At 49.2% G+C, this 22,016-nt stretch overlaps 1 protein-coding gene across 1 annotated transcript in view; it reads left to right on the top strand.

The window, feature by feature from the left end:
* DHRSX (dehydrogenase/reductase X-linked) overlaps nucleotides 1–22,016 on the top strand; it is a 281,471-nt gene that overhangs the window by 213,831 nt on the left and 45,624 nt on the right. Inside the window, exon 5 of the mRNA NM_145177.3 lies at nucleotides 20,199–20,406. Within this exon, the coding sequence (NP_660160.2) occupies nucleotides 20,199–20,406 (208 nt within the window). The remainder of the gene's footprint in view (nucleotides 1–20,198; nucleotides 20,407–22,016) is intronic.

The raw sequence follows: 22,016 nt of genomic DNA, 5'->3' as shown, positions 1-22,016 counted from the left end.
CGCTTGCAGGAAAAATAAAATAATAAGCAAGATTCTTGACCTCATAGAAATCATACTTTAGCAACGGAAACAAACATTGGACCAATAATCATTCTGTGAAATGTTCTGCCTTAGAAAACACACCTCTTGCAATGTGACAACACAGTCTTGTAAAGTACAGAGAAGATTGCACCCCAAGTCACACGCCTCCCTGGAATTCCCCAGCCTGTGCTGCTCAGAACACCATTTCCAGGAGGTGATAATGAGAATCCATTTGTTACAAGATGATGGCTTGAAATAACACTTTGCACTTTCTTCCTTTTATCTTTTTGTTCTACATCTTTCAAGAGGTTGCTCAGGCTGTGGCTTTCCTGGACTCCCTATAGGTTTTTGTGGCTGACTAAGGTTCATCTTGTCCCTGGGGTCACTGTTGAGAAGAGCTCAGTTGCAGAGGATCTGGATTTTTTTTTTTTTCCTCTGTGGGTACAGACAGAAGCTTCTAGAAAAGAGCTGGAGACTTCGCTTTTGGAGGCTGTGTTGAATACCCATTGCCCACTCTTCACAAGAAGACAGAAATGCAGAGAGGCAGTCTCTTGTTGACAAATCCTCTTGGTTCTCTTGGAAATGCAACAGAACCATGGAGCTTCGTGAAGCCCATGGGCTTGGAAAGGGGCCTCCCGAGGTACCCAGGGTGGATGGAAAGCTGCAGGGATAAGTGCTCCTCAAGCCAGAAGTAGCCCAGATGGCACAGTCTATGCTGAGAATGGATTCATCACCAGCCTGTGTGCTGGAGGCTTGGGCCAGATGAACCTTGATTTAGAGAGGAAGTAAAGCATTTTTTGCCTTGGTTTGTGCATCAGAATTCATCTTCATGGTGTGCAAATGACGAGGCTGGATTCTATACAGTCAGCACTGAGAATGGATTCAGCACAAGCCCGTGTGCTGGAGGCCTGGGTCTGATGTACCTGGATTTAGGGAAGAAGCAAAGTATTTTTCTCATTTATTGCATGCCTTAGTTTGTGCATCAGAATTCATCTTCGTGGTGTGCAAATGAGAAGGCTGGATTCTACACAGTCAGCGTTGAGAATGGATTCATCACCAGCTCTTGTGCTGGAGGCTTGAGCCAGATGTACGTTGATTTAGAGAAGAAGTAAAGGATTTTTCTCATTTGTTGCATGCCTTGGTTTATGCATCAGAATTCATCTTCGTTGTGTGCAAATGAGAAGGCTGGATTCTATACAGTCAACGCTGAGAATGGGTTCATCACCAGCTGGTGTGCTGAAGCTTGGGCCAGATGTACCTTGACTTAGAGAAGAAATCAAGGATTTTTCTCGTTGGTTTGTGCATCAGAATTCTTCTTCGTTGTGTGCAAATGAGATTGCTGGATTGTATGTTTGGGATATTGCTGGTGTCAACTTATGTAAATAGAGTTTCTATTTATAGGCAGCCTCAGGGAAGGACTCCAGTGGTGGTACTTTTAGTGTCTAAGAGGCTAGTAGGGGGTCTGCAGACCCCTAAACCAGGGCTGTCCAACCCCCAGGTCATAGTACCAGTCCATGGCCTGTTAGGACACCGGCCGCACAGCAGAAGGTGAGTGGCAAGTGAACAAGCAAAGCTTCATCTGTATTTACAGCCACTCCCCATTGTTCACATGACTGCCTGAGCTCTGCCTCCTGTCAGATCAGCAGCAGCATTAGATTCTTATAGGAGCACAAACCCTACTGTGAACTGTGCATGTGAGGGACTTAGGTTGTGCACTCCTTATGAAAAGCTAAAGCCTGATGATCTGTGCATGGGAAGGATCTAGGTTGTGTGCTCCTTATGGAATCTAATTCCTGATGATCTGTCACTGTCTCCCATCACCCCCAGATGGGACTGTCTAGTCACAGGAAAACAAGCTCAGGGCTCCCACTGATTCTATATGATGGCGACTTGTAGAATTATTTCATTATATAGTACAATGTAATAATAATACAAATAAAGTGTACAATAAATGTCATGCCCCGGAATCATCCCAAAACCATCCCCACATTCCACCTCCACCTTCTGTCTTCAGAAAATTGTCTTTCACAAAAGTGGTCCCTGGTGCCAAAAAGGTTGGAGACTGCTGCCCTAAACTATTTCCCCAGAACCTTCCCTCCAAAACTCCTGCTAGTCAACCACGTGCCTCAAGTCTCATGGAAAACAGCCCCAGCTGAGCTCAGCCAGGGTGACTTCCAAGGCAAGAAGGAGCTACACTTCGTGCTTTTCTTTTTTTATTCTTAGAGCAATCAAGGTTTTGCAAACATTAAATACTTCAGACATAGAATATCTTTTTCATTTGCTAGTGGGTTGAAAATAGAACCTGACTGCCTCTGTCTGGCTGCTGTGGGAAGCTCAGAGGCAACGCGATGATTTATCAAGCACAAGAATAAATCAATAATAGACCTCCTGCAGAGCCGGTATTTATGGTTTATTCACTTCAAAATTGTATTTATCTAGCTTCCCATCCCCATGTCTGAAAATTGATAGATTTTTAATAATGCAGAGGATTTATAGATTTATCCTTGTCAGCCATCTTCCCATAACTCTAATGGATGAATTTCTTTCTGAGATAATGAATTACTAAGCATTATTTTTCCTACCACCAAAGAAATACGTCCACGATACAGGGTGACCCTGAAAAATAACAATGATTCTTCCCTGGCCAGAGACCTAAAGACTCTGTTTTTTGGTACAGTTCTTCATTCACCCATTCATTCATTCATTCATTCATTCATTCAAATTCATTCATTCACTTGAATGAATTCAAATGAGTGAATGAATGAATGAAAGAATTCAAATGAATGAATGAATTCAGAGGAATGAATGAATGCAAATGAATTCAAAGGAATGAACAAATGAATTCAAATGAATTAATTCTAAGGAATGAATGAATTCTAATGAATGAACAAATGAATTCAAAGGAACGAATGAATTCAAAGGACTAAATGAATTGAAAGGAATGTATGAATTCAAAGGAATGAATTCAAAGGAATGAATGAATGAATTCAAATGAGTGAATCTGAATGAATTCAAGGGAATGAATAAATTCAAATGAAGGAATGAATTCAAATGAATGAACAAATGAAGTCAAAGGAACGAATGAATTCAAAGGAATGAATAAATTCAGAGGAATGAATGAATGAATTCAAAGGAATGAGTGAATTCAAAGGAATGAGTGAATTCAAAGGAATGAGTGAATTCAAAGGAATGAGTGAATTCAAAGGAATGAGTGAATTCAAAGGAATGAACGAATTCAAAGGAATGAATGAATGAATTCAAATGAGTGAATTTAAATGAATAAATTCAAGTGAATGAATGAATTCAAAGGAACAAGTGAATTCAAAAGAAGGAATGAATTCAAATGATGCAAATGAATGAATGGAATCAAATGAATGAATGAATTCTAATGAGTTCATTCAAATGAGCAAATGGGCACAGGGCACCTACAAGACCCATGAGAGTTAAGGAAGATTCATTCGGGGAAGCCCAGGTGTGCAGTTCTGCATCAACAGAAGACTGAGGTGCAGTGGAGCCGGTCCTTACTGAGGACCCACTTTTTGGTGGACGGACACCTGAGCAGCCATCTCCTGTCTTTGTGGGCGCCTGGCATTTTCTATGTGACTCGGGCTCCACAGTCATCTGGTCTCCCTCCCGGGAAGACGGAAAGTGTTGCATCGCGGCGCATGCATTCGTCAGCGGATCCTTGAGTCTGCACAGGTGTAGACCATTTATTCTGCGTGCCTTCTGTTTGCTTCTCTTCCAGAGCTGCTCTCCTGTGGATAGAGTAGCTTTCTGTTCCGTAGTGGTTTCCTCTGCCTCTCCCGATGGCGCCTTCTCTGAACAGGAGGCATTTGGATGTTCTTTTAGTGTTGGTGTTGGCAGCAGCATGGGATGTGGTCTGTTGTGACTCTGCGGCAGGCTGTTCCCTGCCAGAGAAGGCTAGATGTTCAGGGCGTCCGTCCCATAGCCTCCCTGGACTGGCTCCATCCTTCCCACCGCCCTCCCGAGATTCTAGGAAGTGGGTTGAGAAGCAGTGGTTTTTCAGTTACTCAAATGCTTTTCTCCTCTCTCTCTCTCTTTCTGTAACTCTCTGTCTCTCTCTCCTCCTTCTCCCCGTCTCTCTGTCATTCTCTCTTTCCACCTCTTCACTGTCTCACTTTTCCTCTCTTTTGCTTTTTCTCTCTGTCTCTCTCTCTCCTCAGTCTACCCCATCCCCGCTTCTACTATTTTGCTCTCGACCTCCCTTCTCCCTCCTCCCTCCCTCTCTCCCCCTCTCTCTCCCCTTCTCCCTTCTCTCTCTCCCTTTCTCCCTCTCTCTCCCTCTCTCTCTTTCTCTCTTCTCTCTTTCTTCTCTCTCTCCCCCTCCCTCCCTCGCTTTCTCCCCTCTTCTCTCTCTCCCATTCTCCCTCTCCCTCCCTCCCTCTCTCCTTCCTTCCCTCTCTCCCTCTTTCTCCCCTCTTCTCTCTCTCCTTTTCTCCCATTCTCTCTCTCCCTCTCTCCCTCCCTTTCCCTTCTTCTCTCCCTCCCCTCTTTCTTCTCTCTCCCCTCTTTCTTCTCTCTCTCCCTTTCTGTTTCCCTCTCGCACACCCTCCCTCTTCTCCCTATCTCCTTTCTCTTCCTGTCTCTCCCCTTGTCTCTCTATCTCCTTTGTCTTCCTCTGTGTCCCACTTCTCTCTCTTTCCTCCTTCCCCCATCTCTCCTCCTCTCTCCTTTGCCTTCCTTCTCTCCCCCTTTCTCTCTTTCTCTCTGTCTCTTTCTCTGTCTCTCCCCTTATTTCCTCCCTCTCCTTCTCTCTTCCTTTCTCGTTTGCCCTCCCTCTCTCTCCCTGTTCCCTCTCCATCTCTCTCTCTCTTTCCCCCATTTCCTCCTCTTCCTTCTCTCTCCCTCTCGTTTGCCCTCCCTCTCTCTCCCCGTTCCCTCTCCATCTCTCTTTCTCTCTCTTTCCCCCATTTCCTCCTCTTCCTTCTCTCTCCCTCTCGTTTGCCCTCCCTCTCTCTCCCCGTTCCCTCTCCATCTCTCTTTCTCTCTCTTTCCCCCATTTCCTCCTCCTCCTTCTCTCTCCCTCTCGTTTGCCCTCCCTCTCTCTCCCCGTTCCCTCTCCATCTCTCTTTCTCTCTCTTTCCCCCATTTCCTCCTCCTCCTTCTCTCTCCCTCTCTCGTTTGCCCTCCCTCTCTCTCCCCGTTCCCTCTCCATCTCTCTCTCTCTTTCCCCCATTTCCTCCTCTTCCTTCTCTCTCCCTCTCGTTTGCCCTCCCTCTCTCTCCCCGTTCCCTCTCCATCTCTCTTTCTCTCTCTTTCCCCTATTTCCTCCCTCTCCTCCTTCTCTCTCCCTCTCTCGTTTGCCCTCCCTCTCTCTCCCCGTTCCCTCTCCATCTCTCTTTCTCTCTCTTTCCCCCATTTCCTCCTCCTCCTTCTCTCTCCCTCTCGTTTGCCCTCCCTCTCTCTCCCCGTTCCCTCTCCATCTCTCTTTCTCTCTCTTTCCCCCATTTCCTCCTCCTCCTTCTCTCTCCCTCTCGTTTGCCCTCCCTCTCTCTCCCCGTTCCCTCTCCATCTCTCTTTCTCTCTCTTTCCCCCATTTCCTCCTCCTCCTTCTCTCTCCCTCTCGTTTGCCCTCCCTCTCTCTCCCCGTTCCCTCTCCATCTCTCTCTCTCTTTCCCCCATTTCCTCCTCTTCCTTCTCTCTCCCTCTCGTTTGCCCTCCCTCTCTCTCCCCGTTCCCTCTCCATCTCTCTCTCTCTTTCCCCCATTTCCTCCTCTTCCTTCTCTCTCCCTCTCGTTTGCCCTCCCTCTCTCTCCCTGTTCCCTCTCCATCTCTCTTTCTCTCTCTTTCCCCCATTTCCTCCTCTTCCTTCTCTCTCCCTCTCTCGTTTGCCCTCCCTCTCTCTCCCCGTTCCCTCTCCATCTCTCTCTCTCTTTCCCCCATTTCCTCCTCTTCCTTCTCTCTCCCTCTCGTTTGCCCTCCCTCTCTCTCCCCGTTCCCTCTCCATCTCTCTCTCTCTTTCCCCCATTTCCTCCTCTTCCTTCTCTCTCCCTCTCGTTTGCCCTCCCTCTCTCTCCCTGTTCCCTCTCCATCTCTCTTTCTCTCTCTTTCCCCCATTTCCTCCTCTTCCTTCTCTCTCCCTCTCTCGTTTGCCCTCCCTCTCTCTCCCCGTTCCCTCTCCATCTCTCTCTCTCTTTCCCCCATTTCCTCCTCTTCCTTCTCTCTCCCTCTCGTTTGCCCTCCCTCTCTCTCCCCGTTCCCTCTCCATCTCTCTCTCTCTTTCCCCCATTTCCTCCTCTTCCTTCTCTCTCCCTCTCGTTTGCCCTCCCTCTCTCTCCCCGTTCCCTCTCCATCTCTCTTTCTCTCTCTTTCCCCCATTTCCTCCTCCTCCTTCTCTCTCCCTCTCGTTTGCCCTCCCTCTCTCTCCCTGTTCCCTCTCCATCTCTCTTTCTCTCTCTTTCCCCCATTTCCTCCTCCTCCTTCTCTCTCCCTCTCGTTTGCCCTCCCTCTCTCTCCCTGTTCCCTCTCCATCTCTCTTTCTCTCTCTTTCCCCCATTTCCTCCTCCTCCTTCTCTCTCCCTCTCGTTTGCCCTCCCTCTCTCTCCCCGTTCCCTCTCCATCTCTCTTTCTCTCTCTTTCCCCCATTTCCTCCTCCTCCTTCTCTCTCCCTCTCGTTTGCCCTCCCTCTCTCTCCCTGTTCCCTCTCCATCTCTCTTTCTCTCTCTTTCCCCCATTTCCTCCTCCTCCTTCTCTCTCCCTCTCGTTTGCCCTCCCTCTCTCTCCCTGTTCCCTCTCCATCTCTCTTTCTCTCTCTTTCCCCCATTTCCTCCTCCTCCTTCTCTCTCCCTCTCGTTTGCCCTCCCTCTCTCTCCCTGTTCCCTCTCCATCTCTCTTTCTCTCTCTTTCCCCCATTTCCTCCTCTTCCTTCTCTCTCCCTCTCTCGTTTGCCCTCCCTCTCTCTCCCCGTTCCCTCTCCATCTCTCTTTCTCTCTCTTTCCCCCATTTCCTCCTCCTCCTTCTCTCTCCCTCTCGTTTGCCCTCCCTCTCTCTCCCCGTTCCCTCTCCATCTCTCTTTCTCTCTCTTTCCCCCATTTCCTCCTCCTCCTTCTCTCTCCCTCTCGTTTGCCCTCCCTCTCTCTCCCCGTTCCCTCTCCATCTCTCTTTCTCTCTCTTTCCCCCATTTCCTCCTCCTCCTTCTCTCTCCCTCTCGTTTGCCCTCCCTCTCTCTCCCCGTTCCCTCTCCATCTCTCTTTCTCTCTCTTTCCCCCATTTCCTCCTCCTCCTTCTCTCTCCCTCTCTCGTTTGCCCTCCCTCTCTCTCCCCGTTCCCTCTCCATCTCTCTCTCTCTTTCCCCCATTTCCTCCTCTTCCTTCTCTCTCCCTCTCGTTTGCCCTCCCTCTCTCTCCCCGTTCCCTCTCCATCTCTCTTTCTCTCTCCCCCATTTCCTCCTCTTCCTTCTCTCTCCCTCTCGTTTGCCCTCCCTCTCTCTCCCCGTTCCCTCTCCATCTCTCTCTCTCTTTCCCCCATTTCCTCCTCTTCCTTCTCTCTCCCTCTCGTTTGCCCTCCCTCTCTCTCCCTGTTCCCTCTCCATCTCTCTTTCTCTCTCTTTCCCCCATTTCCTCCTCTTCCTTCTCTCTCCCTCTCTCGTTTGCCCTCCCTCTCTCTCCCCGTTCCCTCTCCATCTCTCTCTCTCTTTCCCCCATTTCCTCCTCTTCCTTCTCTCTCCCTCTCGTTTGCCCTCCCTCTCTCTCCCCGTTCCCTCTCCATCTCTCTCTCTCTTTCCCCCATTTCCTCCTCTTCCTTCTCTCTCCCTCTCGTTTGCCCTCCCTCTCTCTCCCCGTTCCCTCTCCATCTCTCTTTCTCTCTCTTTCCCCCATTTCCTCCTCCTCCTTCTCTCTCCCTCTCGTTTGCCCTCCCTCTCTCTCCCTGTTCCCTCTCCATCTCTCTTTCTCTCTCTTTCCCCCATTTCCTCCTCCTCCTTCTCTCTCCCTCTCGTTTGCCCTCCCTCTCTCTCCCTGTTCCCTCTCCATCTCTCTTTCTCTCTCTTTCCCCCATTTCCTCCTCCTCCTTCTCTCTCCCTCTCGTTTGCCCTCCCTCTCTCTCCCCGTTCCCTCTCCATCTCTCTTTCTCTCTCTTTCCCCCATTTCCTCCTCCTCCTTCTCTCTCCCTCTCGTTTGCCCTCCCTCTCTCTCCCTGTTCCCTCTCCATCTCTCTTTCTCTCTCTTTCCCCCATTTCCTCCTCCTCCTTCTCTCTCCCTCTCGTTTGCCCTCCCTCTCTCTCCCTGTTCCCTCTCCATCTCTCTTTCTCTCTCTTTCCCCCATTTCCTCCTCCTCCTTCTCTCTCCCTCTCGTTTGCCCTCCCTCTCTCTCCCTGTTCCCTCTCCATCTCTCTTTCTCTCTCTTTCCCCCATTTCCTCCTCTTCCTTCTCTCTCCCTCTCTCGTTTGCCCTCCCTCTCTCTCCCCGTTCCCTCTCCATCTCTCTTTCTCTCTCTTTCCCCCATTTCCTCCTCCTCCTTCTCTCTCCCTCTCGTTTGCCCTCCCTCTCTCTCCCCGTTCCCTCTCCATCTCTCTTTCTCTCTCTTTCCCCCATTTCCTCCTCCTCCTTCTCTCTCCCTCTCGTTTGCCCTCCCTCTCTCTCCCCGTTCCCTCTCCATCTCTCTTTCTCTCTCTTTCCCCCATTTCCTCCTCCTCCTTCTCTCTCCCTCTCGTTTGCCCTCCCTCTCTCTCCCCGTTCCCTCTCCATCTCTCTTTCTCTCTCTTTCCCCCATTTCCTCCTCCTCCTTCTCTCTCCCTCTCTCGTTTGCCCTCCCTCTCTCTCCCCGTTCCCTCTCCATCTCTCTCTCTCTTTCCCCCATTTCCTCCTCTTCCTTCTCTCTCCCTCTCGTTTGCCCTCCCTCTCTCTCCCCGTTCCCTCTCCATCTCTCTTTCTCTCTCTTTCCCCCATTTCCTCCTCCTCCTTCTCTCTCCCTCTCGTTTGCCCTCCCTCTCTCTCCCCGTTCCCTCTCCATCTCTCTTTCTCTCTCTTTCCCCCATTTCCTCCTCCTCCTTCTCTCTCCCTCTCTCGTTTGCCCTCCCTCTCTCTCCCCGTTCCCTCTCCATCTCTCTCTCTCTTTCCCCCATTTCCTCCTCTTCCTTCTCTCTCCCTCTCGTTTGCCCTCCCTCTCTCTCCCCGTTCCCTCTCCATCTCTCTTTCTCTCTCTTTCCCCCATTTCCTCCTCCTCCTTCTCTCTCCCTCTCGTTTGCCCTCCCTCTCTCTCCCTGTTCCCTCTCCATCTCTCTTTCTCTCTCTTTCCCCCATTTCCTCCTCCTCCTTCTCTCTCCCTCTCGTTTGCCCTCCCTCTCTCTCCCCGTTCCCTCTCCATCTCTCTTTCTCTCTCTTTCCCCCATTTCCTCCTCCTCCTTCTCTCTCCCTCTCGTTTGCCCTCCCTCTCTCTCCCTGTTCCCTCTCCATCTCTCTTTCTCTCTCTTTCCCCCATTTCCTCCTCCTCCTTCTCTCTCCCTCTCGTTTGCCCTCCCTCTCTCTCCCTGTTCCCTCTCCATCTCTCTTTCTCTCTCTTTCCCCCATTTCCTCCTCCTCCTTCTCTCTCCCTCTCGTTTGCCCTCCCTCTCTCTCCCTGTTCCCTCTCCATCTCTCTTTCTCTCTCTTTCCCCCATTTCCTCCTCTTCCTTCTCTCTCCCTCTCTCGTTTGCCCTCCCTCTCTCTCCCTGTTCCCTCTCCATCTCTCTTTCTCTCTCTTTCCCCTATTTCCTCCCCTCCTTCTCTCTCCCTCTCGTTTGCCCTCCCTCTCTCTCCCTGTTCCCTCTCCATCTCTCTTTCTCTTTCTTTCCCCCATTTCCTCCTCTTCCTTCTCTCTCCCTCTCTCGTTTGCCCTCCCTCTCTCTCCCTGTTCCCTCTCCATCTCTCTTTCTCTCTTTCCCCCATTTCCTCCTCTTCCTTCTCTCTCCCTCTCTCGTTTGCCCTCCCTCTCTCTCCCTGTTCCCTCTCCATCTCTCTTTCTCTCTTTCCCCTATTTCCTCCTCTTCCTTCTCTCTCCCTCTCTCGTTTGCCCTCCCTCTCTCTCCCTGTTCCCTCTCCATCTCTCTTTCTCTCTTTCCCCCTATTTCCTCCCTCTCCTCCTCTCTCCCTCTCGTTTGCCCTCCCTCTCTCTCCCTGTTCCCTCTCCATCTCTCTTTCTCTCTCTTCCCCCATTTCCTCCTCTTCCTTCTCTCTCCCTCTCTCGTTTGCCCTCCCTCTCTCTCCCTGTTCCCTCTCCATCTCTCTTTCTCTCTTTCCCCTATTTCCTCCCCTCCTTCTCTCTCCCTCTCGTTTGCCCTCCCTCTCTCTCCCTGTTCCCTCTCCATCTCTCTTTGTCTCTCTTTCTCCCTATTTCCTCCCTCTCCTTCTCTCTTCCTTCTTTGCCCTCCCTCTCTCTCTCCTCTCTCTCTCTCTGATTGCCCTTTCATCCCCATCACTCTCCTTTCTCTGGAGTTCTCCGCTTGGAGAGCGGAGAACTCTCCCTTCTCCTCCCGTTCAGGATACACCTCACCTGTGTTCACTGCTTCAGGCACAATATGTGATTGTGACCCTGAGCGTTCACTCCCCAGTAAAATGCCATTAGGTGCACAGACCAATGAACGATAATTGTATTGCGTATTTTCCACCTTTGAATTGGCAGATCAATGGACGATAATTTTACTGTTTATTTTCCACCTTTGAATTGGCAGATCGATGGACGATAGTTTTATTCTGTATTTTCCACCTTTCGATTCGCAGATCAATGAACGATAGTTCTATTGTGTATTCTCCACCTTTGAATTGGCGAAGAGACAGATTCCGTGAATGCTCCTAACGTGGACGGCACCCGATACACTGACGTGGCCACAGGGTTTTCTTATTCCTTACAAAATTCGCAATGAAACATCAGTATATTTGCTGATGATTAAAACTTGTGCAACAAAATCTCAGAAGTCACCACAAAAGAATGTATCCATGTAGCCCAAAACCACTGGTTTCCCAAAAATTATTGAAATTTTAAGAAACAGGCCGGGCGCGATGGCCCACGCCTGTAATCCCAGCACTTTGGGAGGCCGACGTGGATGGATCACGAGGTCAGGAGTTCGAGACCATCCTGGCCAACACGGTGAAATCCCGTCTCTACTAAAAATACAGAAATTAGCTGGGCATAGTAGCATACACCTGTAATCCCAGCTACTCAGGAGCCTGAGGCAGGAGAATTTCTGGAACCCGGGAGGCAGAGGCTGCAGTGGGCCGAGATTGTGCCACTGCACTCCAGCCTAGCGACAGAGTGAGACTCCATCTCAAAAATAAAATTAAATTAAAATTTTTAAAAAAAGGCAAATTATTATTTTATTTTATTTATTTATTTCCTTTTTTGAGACAGAGCCTTGCTCTGTCGCCCAGGCTGGAGTGCAGTGGCACAACCTCTTCTCACTGCAATCTCCGCCTCCCAGAAAAAAACAGGCAAATTAAATCTATGGTAATGGAAATTGGAATTGTAGTTACCTTAGAAGAATGTGATAATTAATTTTGGATCAAAAAAGGGCTTAGGGGTGCAGATGTGGGAGGCGGTTACCTGAGAGGGGAGAGTGCTCGCTTTGGATGATTCCATTGAGATTTCCCTCATGATCTCTGCACCTTTTTTTTTTTTGTTTTGAAACATAGTCTCGCTGTTGTCGGCCGGGGCTGGAGTGCAGTGCACGATATCAGCTCACTGCAACCTCTGCCTCCTGAGTTCCAGAAATTCTCCTGCCTCAGCCTCCCAAGCAGCTGAAATTACAGGTGCCCGCCACCACACTCAGCTAATTTTTTTTTTTTTTTTGTATTTTTAGTAGAGACGGGGTTTCACCAAGTTGGCCAGGCTGGTCTCAAACTCCTGACCTCAGGTCATCCGCCTGCCTCGGCCTCCCAGAGTGCTGGGATTACAGGTGTGAGTCACCGTGCCCAGCCCTGTGCACCTTTTTTATACTTTCCTTTGATTTAAAAGAAAATAATAACTTGACAAAAATAAATAAATAGAATTTTACTGATGCCGAAAAAAACATGATTATGGAAAATTTAAAACACATACAAAAGCCTACAGGCATTTGAATTTGCCGTCGATTGTCTAACTAGTACTCAATTCTGCATTTCGGACTTCCGTCAATCCCTCCTCTGGGGTACCATCATCTCTTCCTAGGCCATGATAATGGCCTCCTAACAGGCATCTCAGGCACCCATCCAATCTCTCTACCTGGCACCAATCTGGTCTTTCAATGCTCTGCTTACATAGGAAGAGGAAAATTAATACCTAAAGCCACTGGCAAAGAACTCAACAACAAAACAATTTCTCCTTCAGAATATGTCAGGCTTTCGTTCCGTAAATATCAGCGTTTCAGGTGGGTTTGCTGCCTAGAAACGTCTCCGTGACACTGTGGTTTAAAATACGGGTGCGTGGCCGGGCGCGGTGGCTCACACCTGGGATCCCAGCACTTTGGGAGGCTGAGGCGGGCAGATCACTTGGGGTCAGGAGTTCGAGACCAGACTGGTCAACATGACAAAACCCCATCTCTACTAAAAATACAAAAAAAAAAAAAAAAAGTTTAGCCGGGTGTTGTGGTGCACACCTGTAATCCCAGCTACTTGGGAGGCTGAGGCAGAAGAATCACTTCAACCCGGGAGGCGGAGGTTGCAGTGAGCCGAGTTCAACCCACTGCAATCCAGCCTGGGCAACAGAGTGAGACTCCATCTCAAAAAAAATGAAATAAAAAATAAAATACGGACACACTGCACTCCAGCTTGGTTGACAGAGCGAGACTCTGTCTCCAAAAAAATAATAATATTAGTAGGGCTGGGTGCAGTGGCTCACACCTGTAGTCCCAGCACTTTGGGAGGCCAAGGCGGGAGGATCAGTTGAGATTAGGAGTTCAAGAGCAGCCTGGCCAACATGGTGAAACCCCGTCTCTACTAAAAATACAAAAAATAGCTGGCCATCGGGGCAGGTGCCTGTAATCCCATGTACTCGGGAGGCTGAGGCAGGAGAATCGCTTGAACCCAGGAGGCAGAGGTTGCAGTGAGCCGACATCACAACACTGCACTCCAGTCTGGGTGACACAGCAAGAGTTTACCTCAAAGTAATAATAATAATAATAAAATAGGAATAAACGTAATTACTCGCAGTAGCTCACTAACGATGAATTATCAGCATCCAGGGCCCCTGCGCGTGGCTGCTGCATTCACCACGGCGCAGGAATTCTCACGCAGCTTCCCCGCCAGGCGAGTCCCTAGCACGGCTCGGATTCATCTGGAGCACAGGTCACCACCTGCCTGCACAGAAGCACTGTCCCCTCTGCTCTTGCAAAAGATACCTTCCCCAACGATGCTGTTGTCACCAAGAATTTGCTCAGAGCTGCAAGCCATTATCCTAAGAGAACCAGCACAGAAACAGAAAACCAAATACTGCATGTTCTGACTTACACCTGGAAGGTACACAGCGGGTACTCATGGACACAAAGATGGGAAGAGCAGAAACTCTTGACTGCTAGAAGGTAGGGGGAGGGAGGCAGGGGATGAAAAACCACCTGTTGGGTACAGTGGCCATTTCCTGGGTGACAGGTTCACTCACAGCCCCACCCTCAGTCTCTAATGTGTATTCCTCTATTCCGTATGCCCCTTCAATGCCAGAAGCATACCCAGAGCTTAGTGCCCACTTACAAGTGAGAACGTGTATTTGCTTTTCTGTTCTTGAGTGACTCCACGTAGAATAATAACCTCCAGTTCTATCCAAGTTACTGCCAATGACACGATTCCACTCTTTTTAATGGCTTAGTAGTATTCCATTCCATTTTCTTTATCCAGTACTCCACGGAGGGGTACTTAGGTTGATTCCGTATGTTTGCAATTGTGAGTTGTGCTGCAAGAAACAGACAGGTGCAGGTATTTTGTTTTGTATTGTTTTGTTTGATTATTTTATTTTATTGATTTATTTATTTTTGAGATGGAGTCTTGCTCTGTCACCCAGGCTGGAGTGCAGTGGTGCGATCTCGGCTCACTGCAACCTCCACCTCCTGGGTTCAAGCAATTCTGGGGTTTCTCCATGTTGCCCAGGCTGCTCTCGAACTCCTGACCTCAGGTGATCTGCCCGCCTTGGTCTCCCAAAGTGCTGGGATGACAGGCGTGAGCCACCATGCCTGGCCTGCAGGTGTCTTTTTGATATAAGGACTTCTTTTCCTTTGGGTAGATACCCAGGAGTGGGATTGCTGGATCGAACAAATGATCTGCTTTTAGTTCTTTGAGAGGAACATCCGTGCTGTTTTCTATACAGCTTGTATGAATTCACTTTCTTTCGGGGCACAGGAATGTAGGCAGTTCTGCCTGGGGGGTCTCCTGTGGGGCTGCAGCTGGGGCTGACTTTATCTGAAGGCTTGACCAGGTTGGATGTCCAGGATAGCTTTCTCTGGTGTCAAGAAGCTGGTACAGCCTGTCACCTGGGCTTAGCTGGGAGGGCCAACAAGAACAGGTACCTGGGGCCTCTCCAGCATGTCAGGCTGAAGGTGCTCAGTCTTTTTAAACCAAAGCTGGCTCCTCCCAGACTCAGCATTCCCAAGAACCAAGCAGGGGCCACGTGACCTTATTGACCCAACTTTGGAAGTCACACAGTGTTTACACCACTGTGGCATTCTACAAAAGAATTAACGAGAAAGTTAATGAGCATGGCCGAGATTCAAGGGAAGGGGCGTAGACTCTAGCTCCCAAGGAGACGAGTGTCAAAAGAATTTGCAGGCCTGCTTTAGAGCCCCCTGAAGCTGCCTTTCAAAACCATGCATGCATAAGCCAGGTGTTCATGATAAGCTCGTCTCTCCTAAGCTGGGAATTTATGACACTTCAGGCACGGATTGAGCTGTGTGTCTCCAGATTCTTCACATCAAATAAAATATGAGGAAAATGGCATCGTGAAAAAGATGTTTATAGTTCATCAAAATGCAAAGCTTCCCGTCCACCCACAGCAACCTATTCTGGTGTTTTTGTTTTTTTGTTGTTGGTTTTTTTTTGTTTTTGAGACAAAAATCAACTTAGGTTGATTCCGTATGTTTGCAGTTGTGAGTTGTGCTGCAAGAAACAGACAGGTGCAGGTATGTTTTTTTGTTTCGTTTTGTCTCACTCTTTCGCCCAGGCTGGAGTGCAGTGGTGTGATCTCGGCTCACTGCAACCTCTGCCTCCCAGGTTCAAGCGATTCTCCTGCCTCAGCTTCCCGAGTAGCTGGGATTACAGGCATGCACCACCACGCCCGGCTAATTTTGTATTTTTAGTAGAGACAAGGTTTCTCCATGTTGGCCAAGCTGGTCTCGAACTCCTGACCTGAACTGATCTGCCCGCTTCGCCCTCTGAAAGTGCTGGGAGGATTACAGGCATGACCCACCGGGCCGGGCTTTTTTTCTGGATAACTCCTGAGGTGAATTCTGACATACTTCTCAGAAGTGTTTTGTTAGATGGGCTTTGAGGACTGTAGGAGTGTTGAATGTTTAATACACATGTGTCTTGTGACTGATTGATACTGGACCCTGATTGATATTGGATCCCTCCCAGTTGGTTTATACTCCTGATGTTTTACAGGCATAAGCTCAGGGAATAAATTCTCTGTATCCTGGAAGTTTTTTTGAAAGCTAGATATTCACGTAGGAGGGGGAAGCACTGAGTCTGGCTGGAAAGTGTGTGCAGGTGAGAAGCAAGGACTGCACCTGAACAGTCTGCTCATTTCTCCCTGAGGATTTCAGCAGGCCACAGGCCTGGAATGGCATGGTGGTGCCTCTCCCCTGCCACCATTCTCTGTGAGAGTGTGTCCAGAATTTATTCCTTCTTGTGGGTTCTTGGTCTCGCTGACTTCAAGAATGAAGCCGCAGACCCTCACGGTGAGTGTTAGGGCTTTTAAAGATGGTGCGTCCCGAGTTTGTTCCTTCAGATGTTCAGATGTGCCTGGAGTTTTTTCCTTCTGGTGGGTTCGCAGACTCGCTGACTTCAGGAGTGAAGCTGCGGACCTTGGCAGTGAGTCTTACAGCTCATACAGGTAGTGTAGACCCAAAGAGTGAGCAGCAGCAAGATTTATGGTGAAGAGTGAAACAACAAAGTTTCCACAACGTGGAAGGGGACACAAGCTGGCTCAGGTGGCCAGCTTTTATTCCCTTATTTGGCCCCGCCCACATCCTGCTGACTGGTCCATTTTACAGAGTGCTGATTGGTCCATTTTACAGAGTGCTGATTGGTCCATTTTACAGAGTGCTGATTGGTCCATTTTATAGAGCATTGATTGGTCCATTTTACAGAGCACTGATTGGTCCATTTTACAGACTGCTGAATGGTCCATTTTAGAGTGCTGATTGGTGCCTTTACAATTCTTTAGCTAGACAAAAGGTCTCCGGGTCTCCACTCGACCCAGGAAGTCCAGGTGGCTTCACGTCTCAAAAGCAGCAGATCTCCATCCACGTTTATTTTTTATTTCCCCCTTGCTGTACCCAAAGCACTACAACCGCACTGTGGAGGCTACAGCCAGAATAAGACGTTGGTTTTTCCTCAAGGACCTCACAATTGTCAAGCCTCCACTGGGGCCAGGGACGTGTAGAGCCGCGGGACCCACTGCTGAGTCTTCTGTGGGCCCTCCGCGCAATGGGGCATCCAGTGCGGCCTGTGCATCCACAGTTTTGAAAGGCGGGTTGGAGAGGCTGTAAAACAGGCCTGCAAATTCTTTTCACACTTGTCTCTTCGGGAGCTGGAGTCCCTGCTCCGTCTCTTGAATCTCGGCTGTCCTCATTAACTGTCTCGTAATTCCTAGAATGGGGCAGTGGTGACAACTCTGTAGGAGTTCCAAAGTTGGGTCGATAAGGCCACGTGGCTCCTGCTTGGTTCTTTGGGAATGCTGAGCCGGCGAGGAGCCAGCTTTGGTTTTGAGTGTTCATAAAGTACAACTGGAAAGACTGTGTACACAAACACAGGCAGGTACACAAATGCACACGCATCAAAAATTTATAGGGAAATGGGTCCATGTACCGAGGCACAAATAACATACAGATATTACAGTACACACAGAAGCAAGCACATATACAAATGCATGTACCTCAAAAAATGTATACACCTACGGATACACCTCTACATATACAAACACATAGAGAAATGCTAGACCTACATATATGTATAGATAGCTCCATATAAGATACACACAAACACAAGCACGTGTACAAATGCATATGCATAGAAAAAGATGTACGCTATGCAGATGTACATATACATACACAAATACATACAGAAACGCTAGACCTATAGATATATACATATCTCCATATAAAATACACACACGGCCGGGTGCAGTGTCTCACGCCTGTAATCCCAGCACTTAGGGAGGCCGAGGTGGGCGGATCCCCTGAGGTCAGGAGTTTGAGAGCAGCCTGGCCAACATGGCAAAACCCCGTCTCTACTGAAAATACAGAAAAATTTAGCCACGTGTGGTGGTGGGTGCCTGTAATCCCAGCTACTCGGGAGGCTAAGGCAGGAAAATTGCTTGAACCTGGGAGGCGGAGGTTGCAGTGAGGCGAGACTGCCTCATTGCACTCCAGCCTGGACGACAAGAGCGAAACTCCTCCTCAAAAAATAAATAAATACATACATATAAAATACACACACACATACAAGCACATAAACAAATGCATGTACCTAGGAAAATGTATTCATGTACAGATACACGTATACATATACAAATAAGTAGAGAAATGCTAGGCCTATATATGTGTAGATATCTCCATATAAAATACACACAAATACAAGCACATATACAAATACATGTACATATAAAAAATGTGTGCACTTGCAGATGCATGTATACATGTACAAATACACAGAGAAATGCTAGACCTCTATATATTTGTGTGTAGATATAAAATACATACACACTAATACAAGCATATATACAAATGCATATGCATAGGAAAATATGTACACATGCAGATATACATATACAAATATGTAGACAAATGCTAGACCTACATATATGTATAGATAGCTCCATATAAAATACACACAAACACATATACAAATGCATATGCATAGAAAGATATGTACACATGCAGATGCAAACACATATATATACAAATACAGAAATAGATCTACAAATATCAATATAGCTCCATATTGAAATACATCTTTGAACACAAACGTGTCCATATGCAAATGGATAGGTGTGTGTGTGTATTAATCATACACCTCAAATGCATTTGCAAATGCAAACGTGCACAAATGCAAAAGCTATGGGATTCCACAGATGAATCAAAATGCATATTCATGCGTGCAATACACGTAGATGTTCCAATGTACAAATAATGACAAATGCTGTGTGTTTGTAGGTGTATGAACACATGCAAATACTTGCGATTGTACAATTCCAAATAGAAACATATAATATATACATACACTGTATGCAGATACACATGCAAAGATGTAAATGTGTATGGACATGTATATACATGTGAATAAATGTGTACACATGCAAACTCATGCACATGTGCATACAACACATATGTAAAAGAAAATATGCACAAATTTATAGGCATTTGAAAATGAATCTGCATGTAAAGACGTGAACACATATGTACATGCTAACATATATCTCTATAGGCATATATCTTTGAATTATGCATACATGCAGTTATATACCCAAGTGTATAGCTATATAAACACATTTACAAATGCGTATGCATATATGTATATGAATAGACGTGCCTGTATTTGCGTTACGTGTAGATAGATACAGAATTCCAGGTACATATATAACATGCCTATGTATACACATCTACATTATCCATGTACATACAAATACATATCTACATTGGCATTAATATCCAAGCAAACTGGTCTGCTCTAAGTACAAGGCAGTATGGTTCGTGCGTGTTTCTAGGACAAGTCACCTTTGAGATCAGGCCTCCACAGCAAGGACTTCAGGGCAGGCGCTCAGCCGGGCTTGGCCTGACAGGGGTGGGCTGTTCTGTGTCTGGTAGATAGAACATGTCAAGCACAGAACCTGCGGTGATGATGATGTCTATAGAATGATGACCGACAGGGCTGCCCTGTGGTCTAGGGGTGAGGACAGGCCATGTTTATACTGAGGTCGGCATTTCTCAAAGGACATCTGAGCAGTTTGTTTGTGGGATACTCAGTGAAGAGGGGGTGCCATAGCAGCTATACTTGTCCAGAATTCTGGGGGGAGACAGGATCTCTGTTGCCCAGGCTGGGGTGCAGTAGCACAATCTCGGCTCACTGCAACCTCCACCTCTTGGGCTCAAACAATCCTCCCGCCTCAACCTCCCCGAGTAGCTGGGACTACAGGCACGCACCACCACACCCACTAATTTTTTGTATTTTTGGTAAAGATGGAGTTTCACTGTGGTGCACAGCCTGGTCTCGAACTCCTGACGTCAAGCAGTCTGCCCTACTCACCTACCCAAAGGCTGGGATTACATGTATGAGCCATCACACCTAGCCGCCCAGAATAATTAATTGTCCAGGGGACTCTGTTTGGTGACTTGGATGATTCTCACTCTCTTGTGTGTGTTGCTGTGTTATCATTGTGGTTATTATTTTTCTTTTCCTTTTTTTTTTTTTTGAGATGGAGTCTCGCTCTGTCACCAGGCTGGAGTGCAGTGGCATGATCTCAGCTCACTGCAACCTCCGCCTCCCAGGTTCAAGCAATTCTCCTGCCTCAGCCTCCTGAGTAGCTGGAACTACAGGACCCTGCCACCAAACCTGGCTAATTTTTGTATTTTTACTAGAGACAAGGGTTTCACCATGTTGGGCAGGCTGGTCTTGAAGTCCTGACCTCAGATGATCCACCCGCCTTGGCCTCCCAAAGTGCTGGGATGACAGGCATGAACTTCTGACCTCAGGTGATCCACCCGCCTCAGCCTCCCAAAGTGCTGGGATGACAGGCGTGAGCCACCGCGCCCGGCCTGTGGTTATTATTTTTAAACTCAAGGCACAGAGGTGCAGAGACAGAAGGCAGGAAGGGACTTCAGTGATCTTCTAGAATCTTCTCCATCACACCTAAAGCAGGAAACAGAGGCCCAGGAGGAAGACATGGCCGCCAGCTCTACACCCCACCCTCCGATGTCCTGGGCCATTTGCGCATCTGGGGAATCCATCTGTGAGATTTCTCCACTGTCTTCCCCAGTCTAACTCCTTCTGATATTCTCTTTTGTCCAGCTGGGGTGATGATGGTCCCTCAGAGGAAAACCAGAGATGGATTCGAAGAACATTTCGGCCTGAACTACCTAGGGCACTTCCTGCTGACCAACCTTCTCTTGGATACGCTGAAAGAGTCTGGGTCCCCTGGCCACAGTGCGAGGGTGGTCACCGTCTCCTCTGCCACCCATTACGTCGCTGAGCTGAACATGGATGACCTTCAGAGCAGGTAGGTGCACCCTGTGAATAATCATAACAGCATCTCAGGTGGGTTAAAGGTTATTCATCTCCCTCTGTCTGTGCGGTGTGGCGCTCCCTGCATCTGCTGGACGCTGGTGCTCTGGGAACAGTGCTCCCTGCGTCTGCCGAGCACTGGTGCTTTGGGGACAGTGCTCCCTGCATCTGCCGGACACTGGTGCTCTGGGGACAGTGCTCCCTGCATCTGCCGAGCACTGGTGCTCTGGGGACAGTGCTCCCTGCGTCTGCCGAGCACTGGTGCTCTGGGAACAGTGCTTCCTGCGTCTGCCGAGCACTGGTGCTCTGGGAACAGTGCTCCCTGCATCTGCTGTACACTGGTGCTCTGGGGACAGTGCTCCCTGCATCTGCCGAGCACTGGTGCTCTGGGGACAGTGCTCCCTGTGTCTGCCGAGCATTGGTGCTCTGGGGACGGTGCTCCCTGTGTCTGCTGTACACCGGTGCTCTGAGGACAGTGCTCCCTGCGTCTGCTGGACACCGGTGCTCTGGGGACAGTGCTCCCTGCGTCTGCCAAGCACTGGTGCTCTGGGGACAGTGCTCCCTGCATCTGCTGTACACTGGTGCTCTGGGTACAGTGCTCCCTGTGTCTGCCGTACACTGGTGCTCTGGGTACAGTGCTCCCTGCGTCTGCCGAGCACTGGTGCTCTGGGGACAGTGCTCCCTGCGTCTGCTGTACACTGGTGCTCTGGGAACAGTGCTTCCTGCGTCTGCCGAGCACTGGTGCTCTGGGAACAGTGCTCCCTGCATCTGCTGTACACTGGTGCTCTGGGGACAGTGCTCCCTGCATCTGCCGAGCACTGGTGCTCTGGGGACAGTGCTCCCTGTGTCCGCCGAGCATTGGTGCTCTGGGGACGGTGCTCCCTGTGTCTGCTGTACACTGGTGCTCTGAGGACAGTGCTCCCTGCGTCTGCTGGACACCGGTGCTCTGGGGACAGTGCTCCCTGCGTCTGCCAAGCACTGGTGCTCTGGGGACAATGCTCCCTGCATCTGCTATACACTGGTGCTCTGGGGACAGTGCTCCCTGCGTCTGCCGAGCACTGGTGCTCTGGGTACAGTGCTCCCTGCGTCTGCTGTACACTGGTGCTCTGGGTACAGTGCTCCCTGCGTCTGCTGTACACTGGTGCTCTGGGGACAGTGCTCCCTGCATCTGCTGAGCACTGGTGCTCTGGGGACAGTGCTCCCTGCATCTGCTGGACACTGGTGCTCTGGGGACAGTGCTCCCTGCTTCTGCTGGACACTGGTGCTCTGGGGACAGTGCTCCCTGCGTCTGCTGGACACTGGTGCTCTGGGGACAGTGCTCCCTGCGTCTGCTGTACACTGGTGCTCTGGGGACAGTGCTCCCTGCGTCTGCTGAGCACTGGTGCTCTGGGGACAGTGCTCCCTGCGTCTGCTGAGCACTGGTGCTCTGGGGACAGTGCTCCCTGCGTCTGCTGAGCACTGGTGCTCTGGGGACAGTGCTCCCTGCGTCTGCTGAGCACTGGTGCTCTGGGGACAGTGCTCCCTGCGTCTGCTGAGCACTGGTGCTCTGGGGACAGTGCTCCCTGCGTCTGCTGGACACTGGTGCTCTGGGGACAGTGCTCCCTG

This window comes from Homo sapiens, chromosome Y, assembly GCF_000001405.40.
Source record: "Homo sapiens chromosome Y, GRCh38.p14 Primary Assembly".
NCBI classification, from domain to species: domain Eukaryota; kingdom Metazoa; phylum Chordata; class Mammalia; order Primates; family Hominidae; genus Homo; species Homo sapiens.
The sequence above is the reverse complement of the archived record's forward strand: the minus strand, read 5'-3'. Positions and strand labels throughout refer to the sequence as shown.